Source organism: Homo sapiens, chromosome 8 (assembly GCF_000001405.40).
Source record: "Homo sapiens chromosome 8, GRCh38.p14 Primary Assembly".
In the NCBI taxonomy this organism is placed as follows: domain Eukaryota; kingdom Metazoa; phylum Chordata; class Mammalia; order Primates; family Hominidae; genus Homo; species Homo sapiens.
Window position 1 is genome coordinate 1,319,906 of NC_000008.11, and position 16,960 is coordinate 1,336,865.

Below are 16,960 nucleotides of genomic sequence, written 5' to 3' on the forward strand. Positions count from 1 at the left end.
CGATGGGTGACCCAGGGCCTTTGAGAATGTGCCAGGACTTAGCTTTAACCCAGATGCTGGTGGAGTAACAGGGGTGGGGGAGAATAGGGCAGGAGACAAAGGTAAGCGCACATGAAGACGAAAGGTGTTGCGGCCTCTGGGCCCAGGGAGTTGAGGAACTCGGGAGTGGTTGGGCTCTGGGTGCATTCTGCAAGTAGAGACCATGAGAGTGAGGTGAGGAAGAGGAGGGCTGAAGGGGACGGCCTGTGTTCCAGCTGAGTGTTGAGTCCTTAGTCATGGTGGCACTGTTTCCGGAAATGGGGAAGGGTAAGGATGAAATGATTTGCAGGGGAAAGTTATGTGTTCTTCCTGAGCCCCACTGAGTGTAGTAAAGATCCAAGCAGACACAAGGTGGCAGCTACCAGGAGATGCCTGGAGTCCAGGAAAGAGGCCAGGACTCGAGGGAACCGTAGCGTCGCATCCTACAGATGACACTGAACCCTGGAGCCGGACCGGAGGAGGAGGACGGGACACAGTGAAAAAGGGTGGGTGCGTGGAGCCCAGGGTGTCTGTCTGCCGAGGCTGGGAAGGCATCAGGAGCCGGGCAGACGGGTGAACGGGCAACATACGGGCACAGAGCCGTGGGTCCCACGTGATGTGATAACCACCCCTGTGCTTGAGCTCAGCCTGGTGCTTCATGCTCAGCTCTCTCAACTTCTCGAACATATTCTAAGTTCTGGTCATATGGGACTAATTGCAGGTGTCCCCAAGCACGACATTCTCACCTCTCTTAGCTTTGAACCAGCTGCCACTTCCCAGCACCTTGTGCACACCCACCCCAGTCATGGCCAGACCTCTCCAACTCCTGCGGTCTTCCCCCAAGCCATAGCCCCACAAGAACAGTGTTGTGACAGCCAAGGCTGGAGGTGCTGCCACCTGTGTGTGTCTGTGTGTGCACGTGTGTTTCTCTCTGTGTTTGCATTCGTGTGTGTGTGCACATGTCTGTATGCACAGGTGTGTAGGGGCATGTGTGTGCATGTATCTGTGTGTATACATGTATCTGTGTGTGTGCATGCATCCCTGTGCCTCTACATGTGTGCGTGCATCCGTGTGCCTCTGCGTGTGTGTGGGCATCCGTGTGCCTCTGTGCCCAGGCATCCATGTGTCTCTAAGTGTGCACATGCATCTGTGTGCCTCTGTGTGTGCGCATGCATCCATGTGCCTCTGTGTGTGTGTGCATCCATGTGTCTCTGCATGTGTGCATGCATCCGTGCCCGTATGTGTCTGCGTCCATGTGTCTCTACGTGTGCACGTGCATCCATGTGCCTCTGCATGTGTGTGTGCATCTGTGTCTCTGCATGTGCACGTGCATCTGTGCCATGTGCGTGTGCGTGCATCTGTGTGTCTCTGTGTGCATCTGTGTGTCTCTGCGTGTGCGTGTGTGTCTGTGTGTCTCTGCATGTGCTTATGCATCCGTACCATGTGCGTGCATGTGTATCCGTGTGTCTCTGCATGTGTGCATGCATCCATGTGTCTGTGTGTGCTTGCATCCATGCGTCTCTGCATGTGTGCGTGCATCCGCATCCATGTGCGTATGCATGGTCCGTGACCACCATGCTGCTTGGCTGTCATGGGAGGACTTGTTCACTGCCTCTGCCTTCTAAGTCCTGAGCTGACTTTCCTCCACAGCTCACAGGAATTCAGCGGATAATTGCTTTTACATCAGGATACTTTTTTTCATTTTCACCTTTAGTATTAGAAAGGAATTGAAGCTCTTATCAGGATGTTTAAAATCACATGCATAGAACTAATGGATTTTCTCTAGAACTCGGCTTCCCCATTTATAACATCCAAAATTTAGTGATTCTCTGACTTTAGAATTCTAAAGGGGAAAATGTGTAATTAGAATTCTAAGGCAAAGAATGTGCTTGGTGATTATTTGGATTCTGGATAAACAAGGGTTCCTTTCTTTGTTTCCAATTAGTGGAATTAATATTCTCAGACCCATTCTGCAGCTTACAGAGCAACCAAACAAACTGATTCAGTAAATACAGGCATTTAATTTTATGTTGTGGTTTAAAATCTAGCTTAAGCCCTGAAGCGTGCTTAAATTCTAGAGATTAGAATTTATATCTTTTGTAATCTCCAATGGGTTTTAATTTTGTAAGTGAGCCAACAGATTAGCAGAAACCCTAGATAACAGTGAACTAATGATTTAAAAAAAAGTCCCAACTTGATATTAAGTGAATACCTATTTTTTTCTAGCAAACTGTTCCTTCAACATAGGTGAATTCTTTAATTTTGAATTAATTAGCCACTAAATATTTCAGATGTACATCATTTAATAGAAATTCGAGTATTTCATATTTTCCAAAAATACAATTTTAGTTAAAAGCCAAGCATACTGAAAAAACTTCGAAATCTCAAACTTAAAATGTTCATTCTTTACCACAATAAATACAACAAAGGCAAATCAGGACATGTATTAATAGAGAAATGTCCATGGAAATGCATGTACCCACCCGGCGTGCTGGATCCTGCTTCTGTGACTTCACGCGTGTGGATCCGTGGAAATGCGTGCACCCGCCCAGCATGCTGCGTCCTGCTTCTGTGACTTCACACGTGTTGATCTGTGGAAATGCATGCACCCACCCAGCGTGCTGCATCCTGCTTCTGTGATTTCACACGTATTGTTCCATGGAAATGTGTGCGCCCACCTGGCGTGCTGTCTCCTGCCTCTGTGATTTCACGTGTATTGTTCCATGGAAATGCATGCACCCACCCATCGTGCTGCGTCCTGCCTCTGTGACTTCACACATGTTGTTCCTTCAGCCTAAGATGATTCCCTGCGTTTCTTGCCCTGGGAAACATAGATCAGATCGGCTCCTCCCCCCTGCATCAGGGCCTTCTCTGATAAGCCGAGTTAATAATTTCCTCTTTAATGGTCCTATATTTGTAGGTTTCTATGATGTATCATTTGTCACAGTGCATAATTATTATAATCATTGTGTACTATTATCGGAGTGTCTGCCTCACTTTGTAGATTATTAACTCCTTGTAAGTTGTCTTATTTTTAAAATTCACCTTTGTCCCCTCCATGCCCCATAGAATAAGTGCTTAGTAGATGTTGACACTGTTAAACTCACAATTTTTTTTTTTTTTTTGAGACAGAGTCTCGCTCTGTTACCCAGACTGGAGTGCAATGGCGTGATCTCGGTTCATGCAACCTCCGCCTCCCAGGTTCAAGCAATTCTCCTACCTCAGCCTCCTGAGTAGCTGGGACTACAGGCACCAGCCTCCACGCCCGGCTTACTTTTTGTATTTTACTGGAGACAGGGTTTCATTGTGTTGCCCAGGCTGGTCTTGAACTCCTGAGGTCAGGCAATCCACCCGCCTCAGCCTCCCAAAGTGCTAGGATTACAGGCATGAGCCACTGCACCCGGCCTGAAACTCACAAGTTTTAAGGCTTTTTAAACAACCACGATGCACATCCTCCGGGAGGAAAGGTGGTTAAACCGCTTCTGGCTTTGAGTCTGGGTGGCCCCGGTAGTAAGTTTACGTGACAACCATGGCAAGGGAGCTCTTCCTCCCACCCCACACTGTGGCTCCTGCTGTACCAGGTTGCAGACGCAGTACCAGGGCGAGTGTAGTGCGGGAAGCAATGGCTCCTGCTGAACCAGGATTCGAACGTGGGGCAGGCAGCAGCAGCTCCTGCTGTACGGGGATGCAGATACGGAGCGGGCAGCAATGCCCCAATGCCCTGTGGCCTCTTCTGGGCAGCTATCCTTAGCACCCTATTCTAGAACAATCCCAAACTTGCCAGGTGAGACAGGAGCCCTGCCTCCGCTCCAATGACTGGTCGCTGCCTGTGCCACCCAGGACACCTTTTTATTTGGATCTTTGAAGAAAGAGTTTCACATCGTGTTTCCTTTCCTAACCACCTGTTCCTGGAGCTGAGGGCTTGGCTGTACTACTAGCTGAAACCAGGGCATTTCATGGATCACGTTTCCTAATTATTTGTTTATTATTTATGCTCTGCCTCATTCGGAAAGCCCAGCTGTTATTTAATAGGATTAATGTGGCGCGTTTCGACACAGTAAAGAAGTTGCTGTTTCTTTACACCAGATTCATCTGGCAACTGAAGTGTGCGTCTGGTCTGCTGTGATATCCAACCGGAAAGGCTGAAGCTATGTCTCTAGGGCCTCTGGCTTAGTGAAATAAGAAGCGTCCATTGAAGGGGGAGGAAGACGACCCCCAAAGTCTGTATTTTGAATATGGACTGTTTGCTCTTAAGTTGCTTCAAACATGATTCAGTCTTTCCCAAATTAGGACAAACCACTGTCTCTGCCCCCATAAGAACAGAATGGTGTTTGTAATTCAATAACAACAGAGTTTTCATTGAGCTCCAGGCCATTTTGTCCCAGAGAGCACATTCCTATCCTATCTCTTCTGTACTGACTCAACTTAGTCCTGAGTTTGACTTTACAACACTGTAAGAAAGTTAGATTGATGTTTCAGCTGGCCTTTATAAAATGCACATGATTTCGTCTGCGTTACTGTCTGAAATTCTTCCACAGCGTTCAAGCGACATGTTTCCACAGGCAGAGCAGGCACCTTCTTCCCAGATCATCTTACCCATTAACACATTGCTCAGGATGTAAAACTGTCCAGGACACAGTGTTACATCCATTCTCCATAGGGTTTTCTTAAGCTGCGTGGTTTGCAATGTAAGGACAAGTGTTATCCTCTCAAAAGCGCCTTTGGACTGGAATTGATTCCTGTGTCCTTGAGCCATGTCCTTTTCAGCCATTTCACAATTCCTTAACTGTTGAGGACTTAACATATATGAGATATTTGGGCAGGCACGACTTCCATGTTCCTGTCTTTCTTCCTAAAATATCAGAGGAGCGGGAGTCACAGCATCTAAAATGAAACTCATCTTGGCAGTCCCGTGAAATACGGAGCTGATTTGTTTTCTTGCTGCAGAGAGCACAAGAATAAAGGAAGACTCCACAAGCCTCGTCTTCCAGATCGTGCTGACCTGCTTGGCTCAGCCTTGCCCTGGAGGCAGACTCGGGATGAGAATTACGGATTCACAAATATCCGAAACCACCCCTGTACTTCCCCAGGCCAGATCATTCTCTCAGTTTAGACCTCTCAACCTGAACCGATGGATGCTCTGCCTGGCATCCTTGGCCTCCACCTCACCCAACACTCACCTTCTTGTCTTCCAGTCTTAGTTTAAAACTCACCTCTGCAGGGTCACTTTCCCCCAGTCCCCCAGAGCTGGTGTAGCGGATGGTCTTCTCAGCGAGGCTGTCCTGAGATGTTCAATGTCGCAATGAGACAGTCATTCCACGACCCCAAGAGTGAGATGTCCGATGGTCTCACCAAGCTTTCTTTCCTGGACCAAGGAAGTTCCCAAACAACTTAGCATCTTAGAGTTAAAGCTGCCTGTGTGTCCAGCCATCTGCCTGCAGGGGGCGTCCTCCCACCTCCAGCAGCCCTGGTCCCTGGGTGTGGTCCCCCGACCCTGCAGCCCGGCTGCTGTAGCGCGTTTTTGAAGTGAGCTTTCACTGCCTCCCATGGTTTCAAGATTTGGGGTGCTCGGCGGATTTATCTGTAAAAAACTTTGTACGCATACATTGCTAGCTCAGGCCAAATTAAATCTAGTTAACGTTTGCTTTTATTTGGGATGCAAAAGGGATCTCCCCTGAAAGGATTAAGGGGACACAAGCATACCCTACAGGGCCTGAACGGAGCAGCCTCCAGCAGTGATTGGCGGGGTTCTCATTATTCCTCTCGCGTGTGCTGCTAGAGAGTTTAAAGCAACTTTGGTACCGCTTGCCAAAGAAAAATGACAGACTCAGGTCTGTTTTCCTGAGACGGGTGAAATGTTAATTTACTGTATCAAGAGTTGTCGTCAGCTCCTTTTGGATCGTTTTTTTGCAAGGACCGTCCATGGAGATGGCTTTCCAGCCACAGTCTTCTGTTTTGATCTCCTTTTTCTATTTTGTAATCTTTATTGTAGTGGTAACTACAGGTCTAATCATTATCTTCCCCCGTAAGCTATAAGGCCCATGGGAATGTGAGTTTCTGCCTCCGGGTTAGCCATCTGGTTTTCAGGACCCAGTGTAGAATGAAAAGATGGGCCATTTGTTCAATAAGCAGGAAAAATGGCCATAAGTGGACTCAACTATACAGCTTTTTTCTTCTTCGATGGTTTCTTGACTTGCTATGGTATTTTTTGTTTGCTCCTTAATGCTATTTTGAATAAAGATTGGAAGTCTAACTATTAGCATGCTTTTACCATTTGTCTTTATACTGTGTGACAGCAGTTTTAAATAAAAATAAAAGGGCATTTAACTTGTATGCAGAATCAGTGAAATTAGACAATCTGTATTTCACTATTGCACATATATTTTGTTCTTCCTGGAACAGTGGAAATATTGAACTAAAAAAGTACTTTAATATCACTTCACAGTGTACCACATTCTAACAAAACTCTCTCCCACTGACTCACTGATGAGCAAGGAAGAAATGTAAGGAAAGGAGCTCTGGGCCGCCCTGTCTTTCAGGACATGGCACGCGCTCGGTCTCGGTCCGGGCCTGTCACTCAGGACACGGCGTGCACTCGGTCTCGGTCCGGTCCTGTCTTTCAGGACATGGCACGCACTCGGTCTCAGTCCGGGCTTGTCACTCAGGACACGGCGCGTGCTCGGTCTCAGTCTTGGTCTGGGCCTGTCACTCAGGACACGGCGAGCTCTTAGTCTTGGTCTGGGCTTGTCAAGTGAACAGGAGCTTTCCATTTGGGAAATTAAAACCTTTAAAGAACATGCTTGAACCTTAGTTTCTTCTTCCTGTTTTTCCAACTGGAGAGACTAAGTTCACAGCTGTTTCCATCTCTCATTTCTTCACATGACTCTGATTTATCCCATTTTCACAGTACCTTCCTCCCTTTGGTGTTGTAGTATATGTTGTTGTGGAAACATGTAAACACAGTGACAATACAGGGAGAAGAGAAAAAGTGGAAAAAACTGTTACATAAGATCAGCCGTGCTCTTTAGCCAGCATAAAATGTCTTGAGCAATGACACAGGCCTTGGGCTATGAGGGTGAACTAAGGCCTAGGCAGTGATTCTGAAGCAAATGTTTCCATTGCGAAAATCCCGGGCAGGCCCCTGGAGGCAGAGCCCTGGTTCCACGTGGCCCAGCCGTCTCCTGAGAGCGGAGCCTGCCTTCCATCCTCCTGACACTGAGCGAGATTACAGTTCCGAGGCGTCTCACATTTCACCATTTAGGACGTTAACACTGCTGTGTATTTCTTTGCAATTTTACAGGTAAGGCTGAGCTAAGTGACCAACCAGGGTCCCTTGGCCAAGGCGGATGTGATGGGCCCACCCTCCACTGCACAGCCTCAGAGCTCCACACCTGTGGCTCCACGGGGACTGCAGTGGGTTTCATGTAAAAGGTCATTAGTCTCTGTAGAGTATTTTGGGCTCATGAGAATGATGTATGCCTGAGTCATCATTCCATCTCTTCCTTTGTCTTTTATTGGTTTAGTGACTTCTCGTCATTTAGTTATTGCTTGCTATAGCTTGTGGAAAATAGATCCAGAGAAGTTGAACTTGACCTTTTTAAAAAGTTTAAATCTCTTGCAAGTGTAAAGAAACATGGTGAGCCAGGCATGGTGGCTCATGCCTGTAATCCCAGCACTTTGGGAGGCCAAGGCAGGTGGATCACGAGGTCAGGAGATCGAGACCATCCTGACTAACACCATGAAACCCCATCTCTACTAAAAATACAAAAAACTATCCGGGCGTCGTGGCGGGCGCCTGTAGTCCCAGCTACTCAGGTGGCTGAGGCAGGAGAATGGCTTGAACCCAGGAGGGGGAGCTTGCAATGAGCAGAGATGGCACCACTGCACTCCAGCCTGGGCAACAGAGGGAGACTCCGTCTCAAAAAAATAAATAAATAAAATGACGTGCTTGTAAATGAATCCATTCTCCACTTTTTCATTAATTCTGATGGATCTTCCTCAGACTGTACAAGACCACAGGGATTGCTGGTTTGTGTCTTTGGGCCCTGGAGGCAGAGCAGAGCCCTTTAGACTTCATGGGTGAGGCTGAGACTGTGTTTCTGTAACAAGGGCCTTTTTATAGTTGTTTTTTTTGGAGACAGAGTCTCACTCTGTCTCCCAGGCTGGAGTGCAGTGGTGTGATCTCAGCTCACTGCATACTCCACCTCCCAGGTTCAAGCTATTCTCCTGCCTCAGCCTCCCAAGTAGCCGGGACTACAGGCATGTGCCACCACACCTGGCTAATTTTTTTATTTTTTTAGTTGAGACAGGATTTCACCTCATTGGCCAGGCTGGTCTCAAACTCCTGACCTCGTGATCCACCCACTTCAGCCTCCCAAAGTGCTGTACAGTTAATATTATTATTATTATTTTTGAGATGGAGTCTCACTGTGTCGCCCAGGCTGGAGTAGAGTGGCATAGTCTTGGCTCACTGCAACCTCTGCCTCCTGGGTTCAGGCTATTCTCCTGCCTCAGCCTCCCGAGTAGCGGGATTATAGGCTCATGCCTGACTAATTTGTGTGTGTTTTTTTGTTTTTTTGTTTGTTTGTTTGTTTTTTGGTTTTTTTTAGTAGAGACAGGGTTTCACCATGTTGGCCAGGCTGGTCTTGAACTCCTGACCTCAGGTGATCTGCCCGCCTTGGCCTCCTAAAGTGCTGGGATTACAGGCGGAAGCCACTGCACCTGGCCTTACAGTTAATATTCTTAAATTTAGTGATCGTCATTATTCATTCTTTTTAAAAACTCGTAGTAAAGACAGAACAACAACCACAGCAAAATGAACTAAGCTTCCCATAATAACGGGAGACGGCGGAAATGTCGGGATGCCGCTTACGTATCGGGGTGTTTATGCAGAGCTGTGTTTCTGAGAAAGGCCGAACACAGATGCTCATGTACACACTTCGGTGGTTTGCTGAGAAATGTGGTAGAAGCTTTCAGGAAATGGCATGAAATAATGAAGGGTCTGATCCTCTGCAGCACTAACACTCTGAGTAGCTGTGTTATGAATTATGCGTGGAAGGCACTTTTCAGCCTTAGATCTGCAGGCAGAGTCCACATGCTGGGCACATGTGTGCTGCTCTCGTGATGACTTGGCTAAACTGCGACAGGCGACAGGTGACAAGCGACAAGCGACGAGTGGGAAGAAAAGTCTTCAGAAGGTGACAGATTCAAATGTATGCACCAAACTGGGCCCAGATCAGCCTGGAGTTCTCAAGAGATGTGAAGAAACCTTTATGGATTAAAAACAATGTCTTTTAGTCAGTCTTTAAAAGTATCTTTAATTTCTGAAATTGTTTCATGGAATGAAGTTTACTCTCAGTAATCGCACAAGTGCACCAGAGAGTGCTGCATTCCTGAAATTTCTGGCTGATTGAGATTAAATGGCATTTCATTTAGAATTCATACTCCATTTCAATGTTTTATTAATTAATTGGTTAGATTCAGCTAGATCCGTTTTTCGAAGGTCATTTTAGACCAAAATATTATTTTTATGATTTCTGAAATTTTTCAAATCTATCATTTCTTCCCAAGAGTTTCATTTAGAGAGTGTGTGCATGTGTGTGCATGTTCAAAGAGCAAGTGAGTTCTATTTGGGGAAGTTCAATTCGGTAGATGCTTACTGACTACTCCGTCCTGGTTCTGTGCCGGGTCCTGGGGTAGCCGAGGGGAATGAACATGGGCCCTAAGTGAGGTTGCCTTCTAACTGCAGAGACCATGGGGGTGAATGAAGATGAGCCGTGCGTGAGGTCACCTTCTAACAGCAGAGACCCTGGGGCTTGGGGTGCATTAGCCCCGGCTGTACCTGCCTGAGCCCAAGTTAGCACTGCTGTGAGCCCTATCAAACTGGGGCTGGATTTTCCACCAAGTGTCTCATACCAAACAGGCCTAGGATATTTCAGAACCTTGTCTTCTAGCTCTGCTGAAGTGCACAACTCATTGCTGCAAGCTGCAGCCGCCCTGCCGTGCAGTAGAACCCCAGAGCTTCCTCTCCCCATCCGATTCACTTGCTTGTCTGACTGTGGCTGGGACTGAGTGAGCTGCGGACCCCAGGGACAGAACGGATGTCCATTAAAGTGGCTTTGCTCCATTTCCCATGTTTGTGGTGGGTCACAGTCCCTCATGTGGGGTCGAGGTTTCTTTGTATCTTGCCCCTGCGAGAGGTGTGGCTGTGGGAGTGAGGAGGTGGTGGCAGGAGCCAACAGGTGCTGGCCGTGGTGCTGACGCCCAGGGACTGAGTTCTGGGTGAGAGCACTACTTCACAGGGACTGAGTTCTGGGTGGGAGCACCGCTTCGCAGGGACTGAGTTCTGGGTGGGACTGAGTTCTGGGTGGGAGCACTACTTCACAGGGACTGAGTTCTGGGTGGGAGCACCGCTTCGCGGGGACTGAGTTCTGGGTGGGACTGAGTTCTGGGTGGGAGCACCTCTTCACAGGGACTAGTTCTGGGTGGGAGCACCGCTTCGCGGGGACTGAGTTCTGGGTGGGACTGAGTTCTGGGTGGGAGCACCACTTCACGAGGACTGAGTTTTGGGTGGGAGCACCGCTTCACGGGGACTGAGTTCTGGGTGGGACTGAGTTCTGGGTGGGAGCACCGCTTCACAGGGACTGAGTTCTGTGTGGGAGCACCGCTTCACGGGGACCGAGTTCTGGGTGGGAGCACCGCTTCACGGGGACCGAGTTCTGGGTGGGACTGAGTTCTGGGTGGGAGCACCGCTTCATGGGGACTGAGTTCTGGGTGGGATTGAGTTCTGGGTGGGAGCGCCACTTCACCAGGACTGAGTTCTGGGTGGGAGCACCGCTTCATCGGGACCGAGTTCTGGGTGGGAGCACTGCTTCACGGGGACCGAGTTCTGGGTGGGACTGAGTTCTGGGTGGGAGCACAGCTTCACAGGGACTGAGTTCTGGGTGGGAGCATCGCTTCACGGGGACTGAGTTCTGTGTGGGAGCACCACTTCATGGGGACTGAGTTCTGGGTGGGACTGAGTTCTGGGTGGGAGCGCCACTTCACCGGGACTGAGTTCTGGGTGGGAGCACCGCTTCATGGGGACTGAGTTCTGGGTGGGAGCACCGCTTCACAGGAGCGTGAAGAGACTGCAATGCCAGGGAGGACGGGCTGCTCCTAGCTGGCTTAGCTGCCTGCTGGGTACTCATGCACGCTTTCTTTCATCTGTGTTAATAATCAAATGGCCGTCACAGTGCACTGGGGGAAGTGGATTCTTAGTCGACAGGTAGAAATGCAGCGATGTGGCACTGATGTGCTAGTTGAAGCCATACTGTGTGCCATAACTAAGGCCGCAAATTCCTTCAGAGGTCCTGGAAGCCACAGTGTCTGGGGTTATGCTGGTTGGGTGGGTTGGCTGCACAGTGTCCTCACACACCCGTTTCACAGCCCAGGGTGGGCTAGTGGGCAGGTCGCTGGCCTTTCCTACGGACTCGAGCCTGAAATGTGTCCGTCCCTCCCCTTTGCAAACCTGCCCTCCTTCCAGGCACCATGCCGGGCAAACAACAGACTCCTCCTGCCCAGGGAAGCCTTTTCTGATTTTTTAGGGACACGGATCTGGGCAGTGTTTGTAAACTCTTTGCGTTTAGAGTCTTTGCTGTTCATCCACCTCGGTGTTTAATAATATAATCCGTCTTGTGTTTTTCTTGGATGCTTCTTTTGTGTTAATCTCAGTTTGGTGTCAACATCTTGGGTATACGACAAACGTGGTAAAAATATCCCGGATGTGAAAGATGACCCACTTATAGAAGGGTCCTTCCGACGTTTAAAACGTGTCTTGTTTTGCTTATGGGCTGGGCACACCTTCTCTCATATCTCTGAGATACGTGTAAATCCAAGCACCTTTCTGGGATCTGTGAACAGGCAGGAGCAGAGGGAGAGTGGCTGTGGATCCCTCCTCTCAGGCCTGCAACCTTCCCAGTAGAGCAACACTGGGGTCAGGGAGCCATGTGTCAGCAAACAATCCCTAGGGAGCCACTGGGGAGGGCACAGCCACCTCCTGCCAACCCCCTGAACAGCCCCAGGGTGGGCCAGGGCTGGCAGCACACGGCAGCGCCTTCTTTCTTTTGCTGGTGAACCAGTGTTGGGGTGCAGCCCTCTGTGAGGGGTTTCCATGGCCTGGCACAGCCCATCCCCAACAGCCACCTTCCTTTGCTGCAGTCAATGTGTCCTGGTGTAGAAATGGGGGTGTGTGTGAGTGTGTGTGTGCGAATGTGAGCGTATTTGCGTTTATTTGCATTGTGTGCTTGTGATGGTTTGTGTGAGTGTGCCTGCATATGTGAGTATATGCATGTGTATATGTGTTTATATACATCTGTGTACACATATCTGCACGTGTGTCAGTGTGTGTGTGTCTGTATGCGAGGGTATATGCATGTATTGTGTGTGTGTATACATCTGTGTACACATATCTGCACATGTGTGTTAGTGTGTGTCTGCATGTGTGAGTATATGCGTGTGTCAGTGTATATATGTCTGTGTACACATGTGTCTGCATGAGTATATGCATGTGTGTGTGTGAGCGTAGATACATCTGTGTACTCATATCTGCACGTGTGTGTCATTGTGCACACACTCCTACAGATGCACACACACTTGCTATGACGGAGCTTCCCTGCCCCTGGCTGTCACACATGCCCTGAGAAGCACACTCACCCCCTCCAGGTCACACGTCTAAGTGACTGGCTGGCCTTTGGCCTCCACAGGCTCAACCTGCAGCCGCGAGGAGCACTCAGAATTCACGTCTGAGTCACTGGTGAGCTCAGCCTCACCTCTCACGCCCCAGACCTGGAAAAGCCATTGAGGCTGCAGGTAGCTCTCTAGGGTCCTGGACCATTCATAACCAAGCATCAGATCAGCGTAGCCGGGATGAATGAAAATACGTGGGCTTCTTGCTGGGTGCAGCAGACACGTGTGTTGAAAGCTCTGGGTGTGTCTGGGAGTGGGACCACTTGCTGATGTTTCCTCAGAGAGCCCCCAGCAGCAAGCCTACTCCCTTCCACAAGCATGTGGCCGCCTCGTCAGGCCCCCCTTCCTCGAATGGTGTGGAGCATCAGGGCAGGGGCAGCCCTGTGACACCGCCCGAGGTGTTGAAAGCGATGGTGTCTGGAGGAGGTCAGGCTCTTCATGCCTCCGGGCGGTCTGTTCCTCCTAAGCAGATGGACCTCCGGCTGCAGGCGTGAGCACAAGGAGAGAGATCAGGGACCATCCAGAAGCCTCCGCAGACTGTCTTCTGGCACATTACAGAGATGGAGGAAGGAGAAACCCACTGCTACCCTGGCCAGGGGAGCAGAGCCCATGGTAGGCCATGCAGAGCATGGCACCTCGAGTCTCAGGACACGGGGACGGGCAGGGCTGGGGTGTGGGCGTCTCCCTGTCTCCCTTCCCTGGGGAGGAGGAAGCAGAGGTTGAAGAGGTTTTGCTGCCATATTCTAATGTCCAGGGCCGTCTTCATTTATCCAACTGTGATCTCGTCCCTGACACTTTCCCATCCCGTCATCAGATTGTCTAAATAGCGATGTTTTGTGAGCTCTTCCACAGACAGGGGTTCACACCCCGTTTCTCCTCCCGTGAGTCCTGTGTGCAGGGTTTGTTCATCCGGACACCTCCATTGCCTGAGCACTGTGGAGCCCATATCAAGCCCTCATAATAGGCAGCGACTGTGGCGTGAGAAAGGCACTCGGAGGTAATTTGTGTGCCGATGTAACCGCGGGCTCTCCAGGCAGGTCTGGACTTGCATATGTGAGACTCGTCTCAAATTCAGTTTCATATGGTTCTCACCTATTCTCATACCCAATTTTAATGGGGAACTTTCTTTAGAGGAGGTAAGACACAGGGTGGTCCATCTCCACCCGAACTTATCTAGCAGAGCAGGTGGAACAGAAGCTCAGATCTAGCAGAGCAGGGGGAACAGAAAGTCAGATCCCAGGTGCATCCTTGCCTCCCATCTGAGGCTCAGCCCTGGGCTGCTGAAGGCGCATATGCGGTGGCACAGGGGCCAACACGGCGAGAGCCACGTGCTCCGCAACTGAGGGCACCATGCCGGGGAAGAGGCTTCCTTGCGTGAGGAAGGCCCACAGAGTCCAGATTTCACTGAGAGACCCCTGTGCCCCTGAGAGCCCCAAACAGCTCATGCCTGGACTGGAAAGAGTGACACACAGTGATGCCAGTGAGTCTGAGAGCTCCTCAGTGAGGTTCTGGACATTCTGATGGGCTGCCTTGAAAGCAAAGGAAATGTTTCCTGTGATGAAAATCAACAGCTTTTGGCTGCACACCTGAGCTGGTTAAGCTGAGAAGCCATGGCAGTCAGCATTTGCCACCCCATGCAGCCCTGGCAGCTCCCTTAGAGCCATCACTGTGACCCAGCGTTCCTGGCGTCGGCCCTCATCCACCTGTCACCAACCCAAAAATGACATCAACAAAACCAACCACATCAAATGGTGGATATGTCAAGGAGTCGGTGAATTTTCTGTAAATATGTGCTGTGGGAACGTGCTGTGGATTTCTCAGGCCTACTTTTCGTTCCACTAAATCTTCTGTAAAAGCCACTGGTATGATTCCTAAAGCTGCTTCCAGTGAGGAAGTCACGCAGATGTGAGTGTGAGAGGTGGGCCCTTCCCCACCTGCCCTCGACCCCCCCAGTGGAGACATGCACCCACCGTGGGCCATGCATGGACTCCGGTGGGATGACCAGTGTGGCATCCACGTCGGCATTCTCGGCACTCCAGGGTAAACACCTCCACAGCAGCCAGGCCGTGTGCCTTCTGTAGCACCACATGGAAGCTATTTCTCATACCACCGAGAAGCCATAATGTAACATGGTAAATACATGATACATGTGTTGACACGCTGTAAAGGAAGAGACACGAAATTGCCTCACTAACACGGCTGTCTTGCCTCTCTCGCCTCTTTCCTCTGAATGTTCTTTCTTCTCCTCCCCGCCTTGGCCCTCCCTGCGGGGCACAAGTTTGCCATCTCCCATCAGGCAGTATCCCGGGACCCAGCCCTCGCAGGCACTTCCAGCAGGCCTTAAAAACACAGAAATCTTATAAGCATCTAAGTAAATCGTAGCTGTTGCTGCATTGTCTAGAAATTCAGGGCAAACCATAGTTCTAGGAACCATGGTCTGACGTTTCTGCAGAAGGGAACTCCTCATCCAAGACACGGTGGTTGAGTCACTGCCCAGATAATTTCTGGATTTCTTGGGAGCGACAAAGCAGAGGTAGTGTGGCCTTTCTCTCTCAGTCTACACCGAAGCCATCAGGAGGCTTCGAGCTCCAAACCAGCTGTGACCAGAAGGCTGGACTCTTTAGGGCGGCCTAATGAGGATGCTGCTGGAGAAACAACCTTCAGCTGGTCACTGTGGACAACGAATTTAGAAAATCGAGTTTGGCATTACATTTTCACTCTAAGACAGTCCTGTTCACACTCAGCAACACATGAGTGTGTTCTGTGGGCTGACACTATGCTGTGTCCAGAGACCCAAAACCAAACGGGACAGTGTGCTTCCTCTGGAGGAATGGGTAATAATCACGTTGCAATATCGGACATGATGGCCCAGAAAGACGTGCCAACTGCTAAATGAGCTCAGAGGAGGAGGGCGATTGTTGGTAGGGCAGGGTGCGGTGCTGGGTGGAAGTTTCTGGAAGCAGGGAAGCTTTGGACTGGTCATGACGTATGAGTAGGAGTTTGATGGATGGAGGAAAAGTCGAGAGCAATCCAGGAAGAACACATATTGTCTGTGCAGGACGCAGGACGCCCAGGGAACCCTGAGTATGATTTATGTGTTTTGTTGCTATGTTTATTTATGTCCTTCCTTGTTCCAGAGTGGGTTTATTGTGGTGCAATAAAACAAGTTTCAGATAAATAAGAAAATGTGGCTAAAAGGAAACTAAGGGAAGCAAAGTGTGGCAGAGCCGGGGCTGCGCGTGGTGACGCGGGAGGCATCAGGACCCTAGAGCCGGGGCTGCGCGTGGTGACGCGGGAGGCATCAGGGCCCATAGAACTGGGGCTTTGTGCTTTTTCCGGTAAAGAGCTCCAGGGGGGAAAACATCACAATATAAAGAAACTCTGAGCGGTGCTGGGCGTTCAGCCCGTCTCATGTCAAGCCTGGTCCTCCACATGTGCAGTCTTGGCTGCTGCATCCAAGACCACCCTGTTCCTCCCCACATTGGTGACCCCATGGGTCCCTCCTTTCTGTGGATTCGTTCTGAGCATTAAATAATGTATTCAATGAATGGTTTTGAATGTAACTATTTTTGTTAACTGGATTTATTTTGAAGATGCTGATTCAATGCTAGCATGGAAACAGTCAAGCAACTCTGAGATCTGAAGCACCTTCGTTCTGGGAAGAAAGGGTGGAAGTGAAGAAGGGAGAGGGGTGGTGAGAGAAAGGAAGGAAAGAGCTGGAGGAAAAGTGGCGAGGAGGAGGAGGAAAGGCACCGTGCATCCACAGGCTGTCAAGAACCGGCCGGTAGAAGTCTGGGCTCTTTCCCTCGTCTTTACAGACGTCCGTTATGAGGACGTTCCAGTGTGCCACTGAAACACACGCAACTCTGTGCCGGAAGCCTTTCCCAGCACAGGAAGGACTTTGGCTGGGGTCTGGGCTTGGCACAACTGGTTCAGACTAGTCACAGGGGCCTGGACACCAGCAGCCTCTGTGGCTTCTGCACCTCCGATGCATCTGGAACAGGCTGGGGCCCCTCAAGGAACGTGTCTTGCTTCTGTTGAGCCACTCTTTTCTCACCCCTAAATAAGACAGATGCATTCAGTGACCTCTCAGCTTACTAGTGAAAGCAGTGGGCTCCTCTCACCCTCTTTTAATAAACTACTTAAGAGCTGTTGTTCATTTAATACATACACACATTTTTCCTAATGTTTACTGCAAAGGAATTTAAGGAGTAGT

At 49.7% G+C, this 16,960-nt stretch overlaps 1 protein-coding gene and 1 long non-coding RNA gene across 2 annotated transcripts in view, besides 3 other annotated features; both read left to right on the forward strand.

The window, feature by feature from the left end:
* The window catches only part of DLGAP2 (DLG associated protein 2), a 970,849-nt gene that overhangs the window by 582,278 nt on the left and 371,611 nt on the right, over nt 1-16,960 (forward strand). The window lies entirely within an intron of this gene.
* Nucleotides 779-1,279: an enhancer, noted in NCBI's record as "H3K4me1 hESC enhancer chr8:1268850-1269350 (GRCh37/hg19 assembly coordinates)". NCBI's record gives its function as "activates a minimal SCP1, AML or CMV promoter by ChIP-STARR-seq in naive and primed H9 embryonic stem cells {active_cell/tissue: H9 hESC(naive and primed)}" and the evidence as "EXISTENCE:reporter gene assay evidence [ECO:0000049][PMID:30033119]".
* Nucleotides 1,280-1,780: an enhancer, noted in NCBI's record as "H3K4me1 hESC enhancer chr8:1269351-1269851 (GRCh37/hg19 assembly coordinates)". NCBI's record gives its function as "activates a minimal SCP1, AML or CMV promoter by ChIP-STARR-seq in naive and primed H9 embryonic stem cells {active_cell/tissue: H9 hESC(naive and primed)}" and the evidence as "EXISTENCE:reporter gene assay evidence [ECO:0000049][PMID:30033119]".
* LOC124901869 (uncharacterized) overlaps nt 1,525-16,960 on the forward strand; it is a 36,226-nt gene continuing 20,790 nt past the window's right edge. Inside the window, exon 1 of the long non-coding RNA XR_007060782.1 lies at nt 1,525-7,318. This is a non-coding gene — a long non-coding RNA (uncharacterized LOC124901869). The remainder of the gene's footprint in view (nt 7,319-16,960) is intronic.
* Nucleotides 10,145-10,345: a silencer, noted in NCBI's record as "peak6885 fragment used in MPRA reporter construct". NCBI's record gives its function as "represses an SCP1 promoter by STARR-seq MPRAs in K562 erythroleukemia cells {active_cell/tissue: K562}" and the evidence as "EXISTENCE:reporter gene assay evidence [ECO:0000049][PMID:32103011]".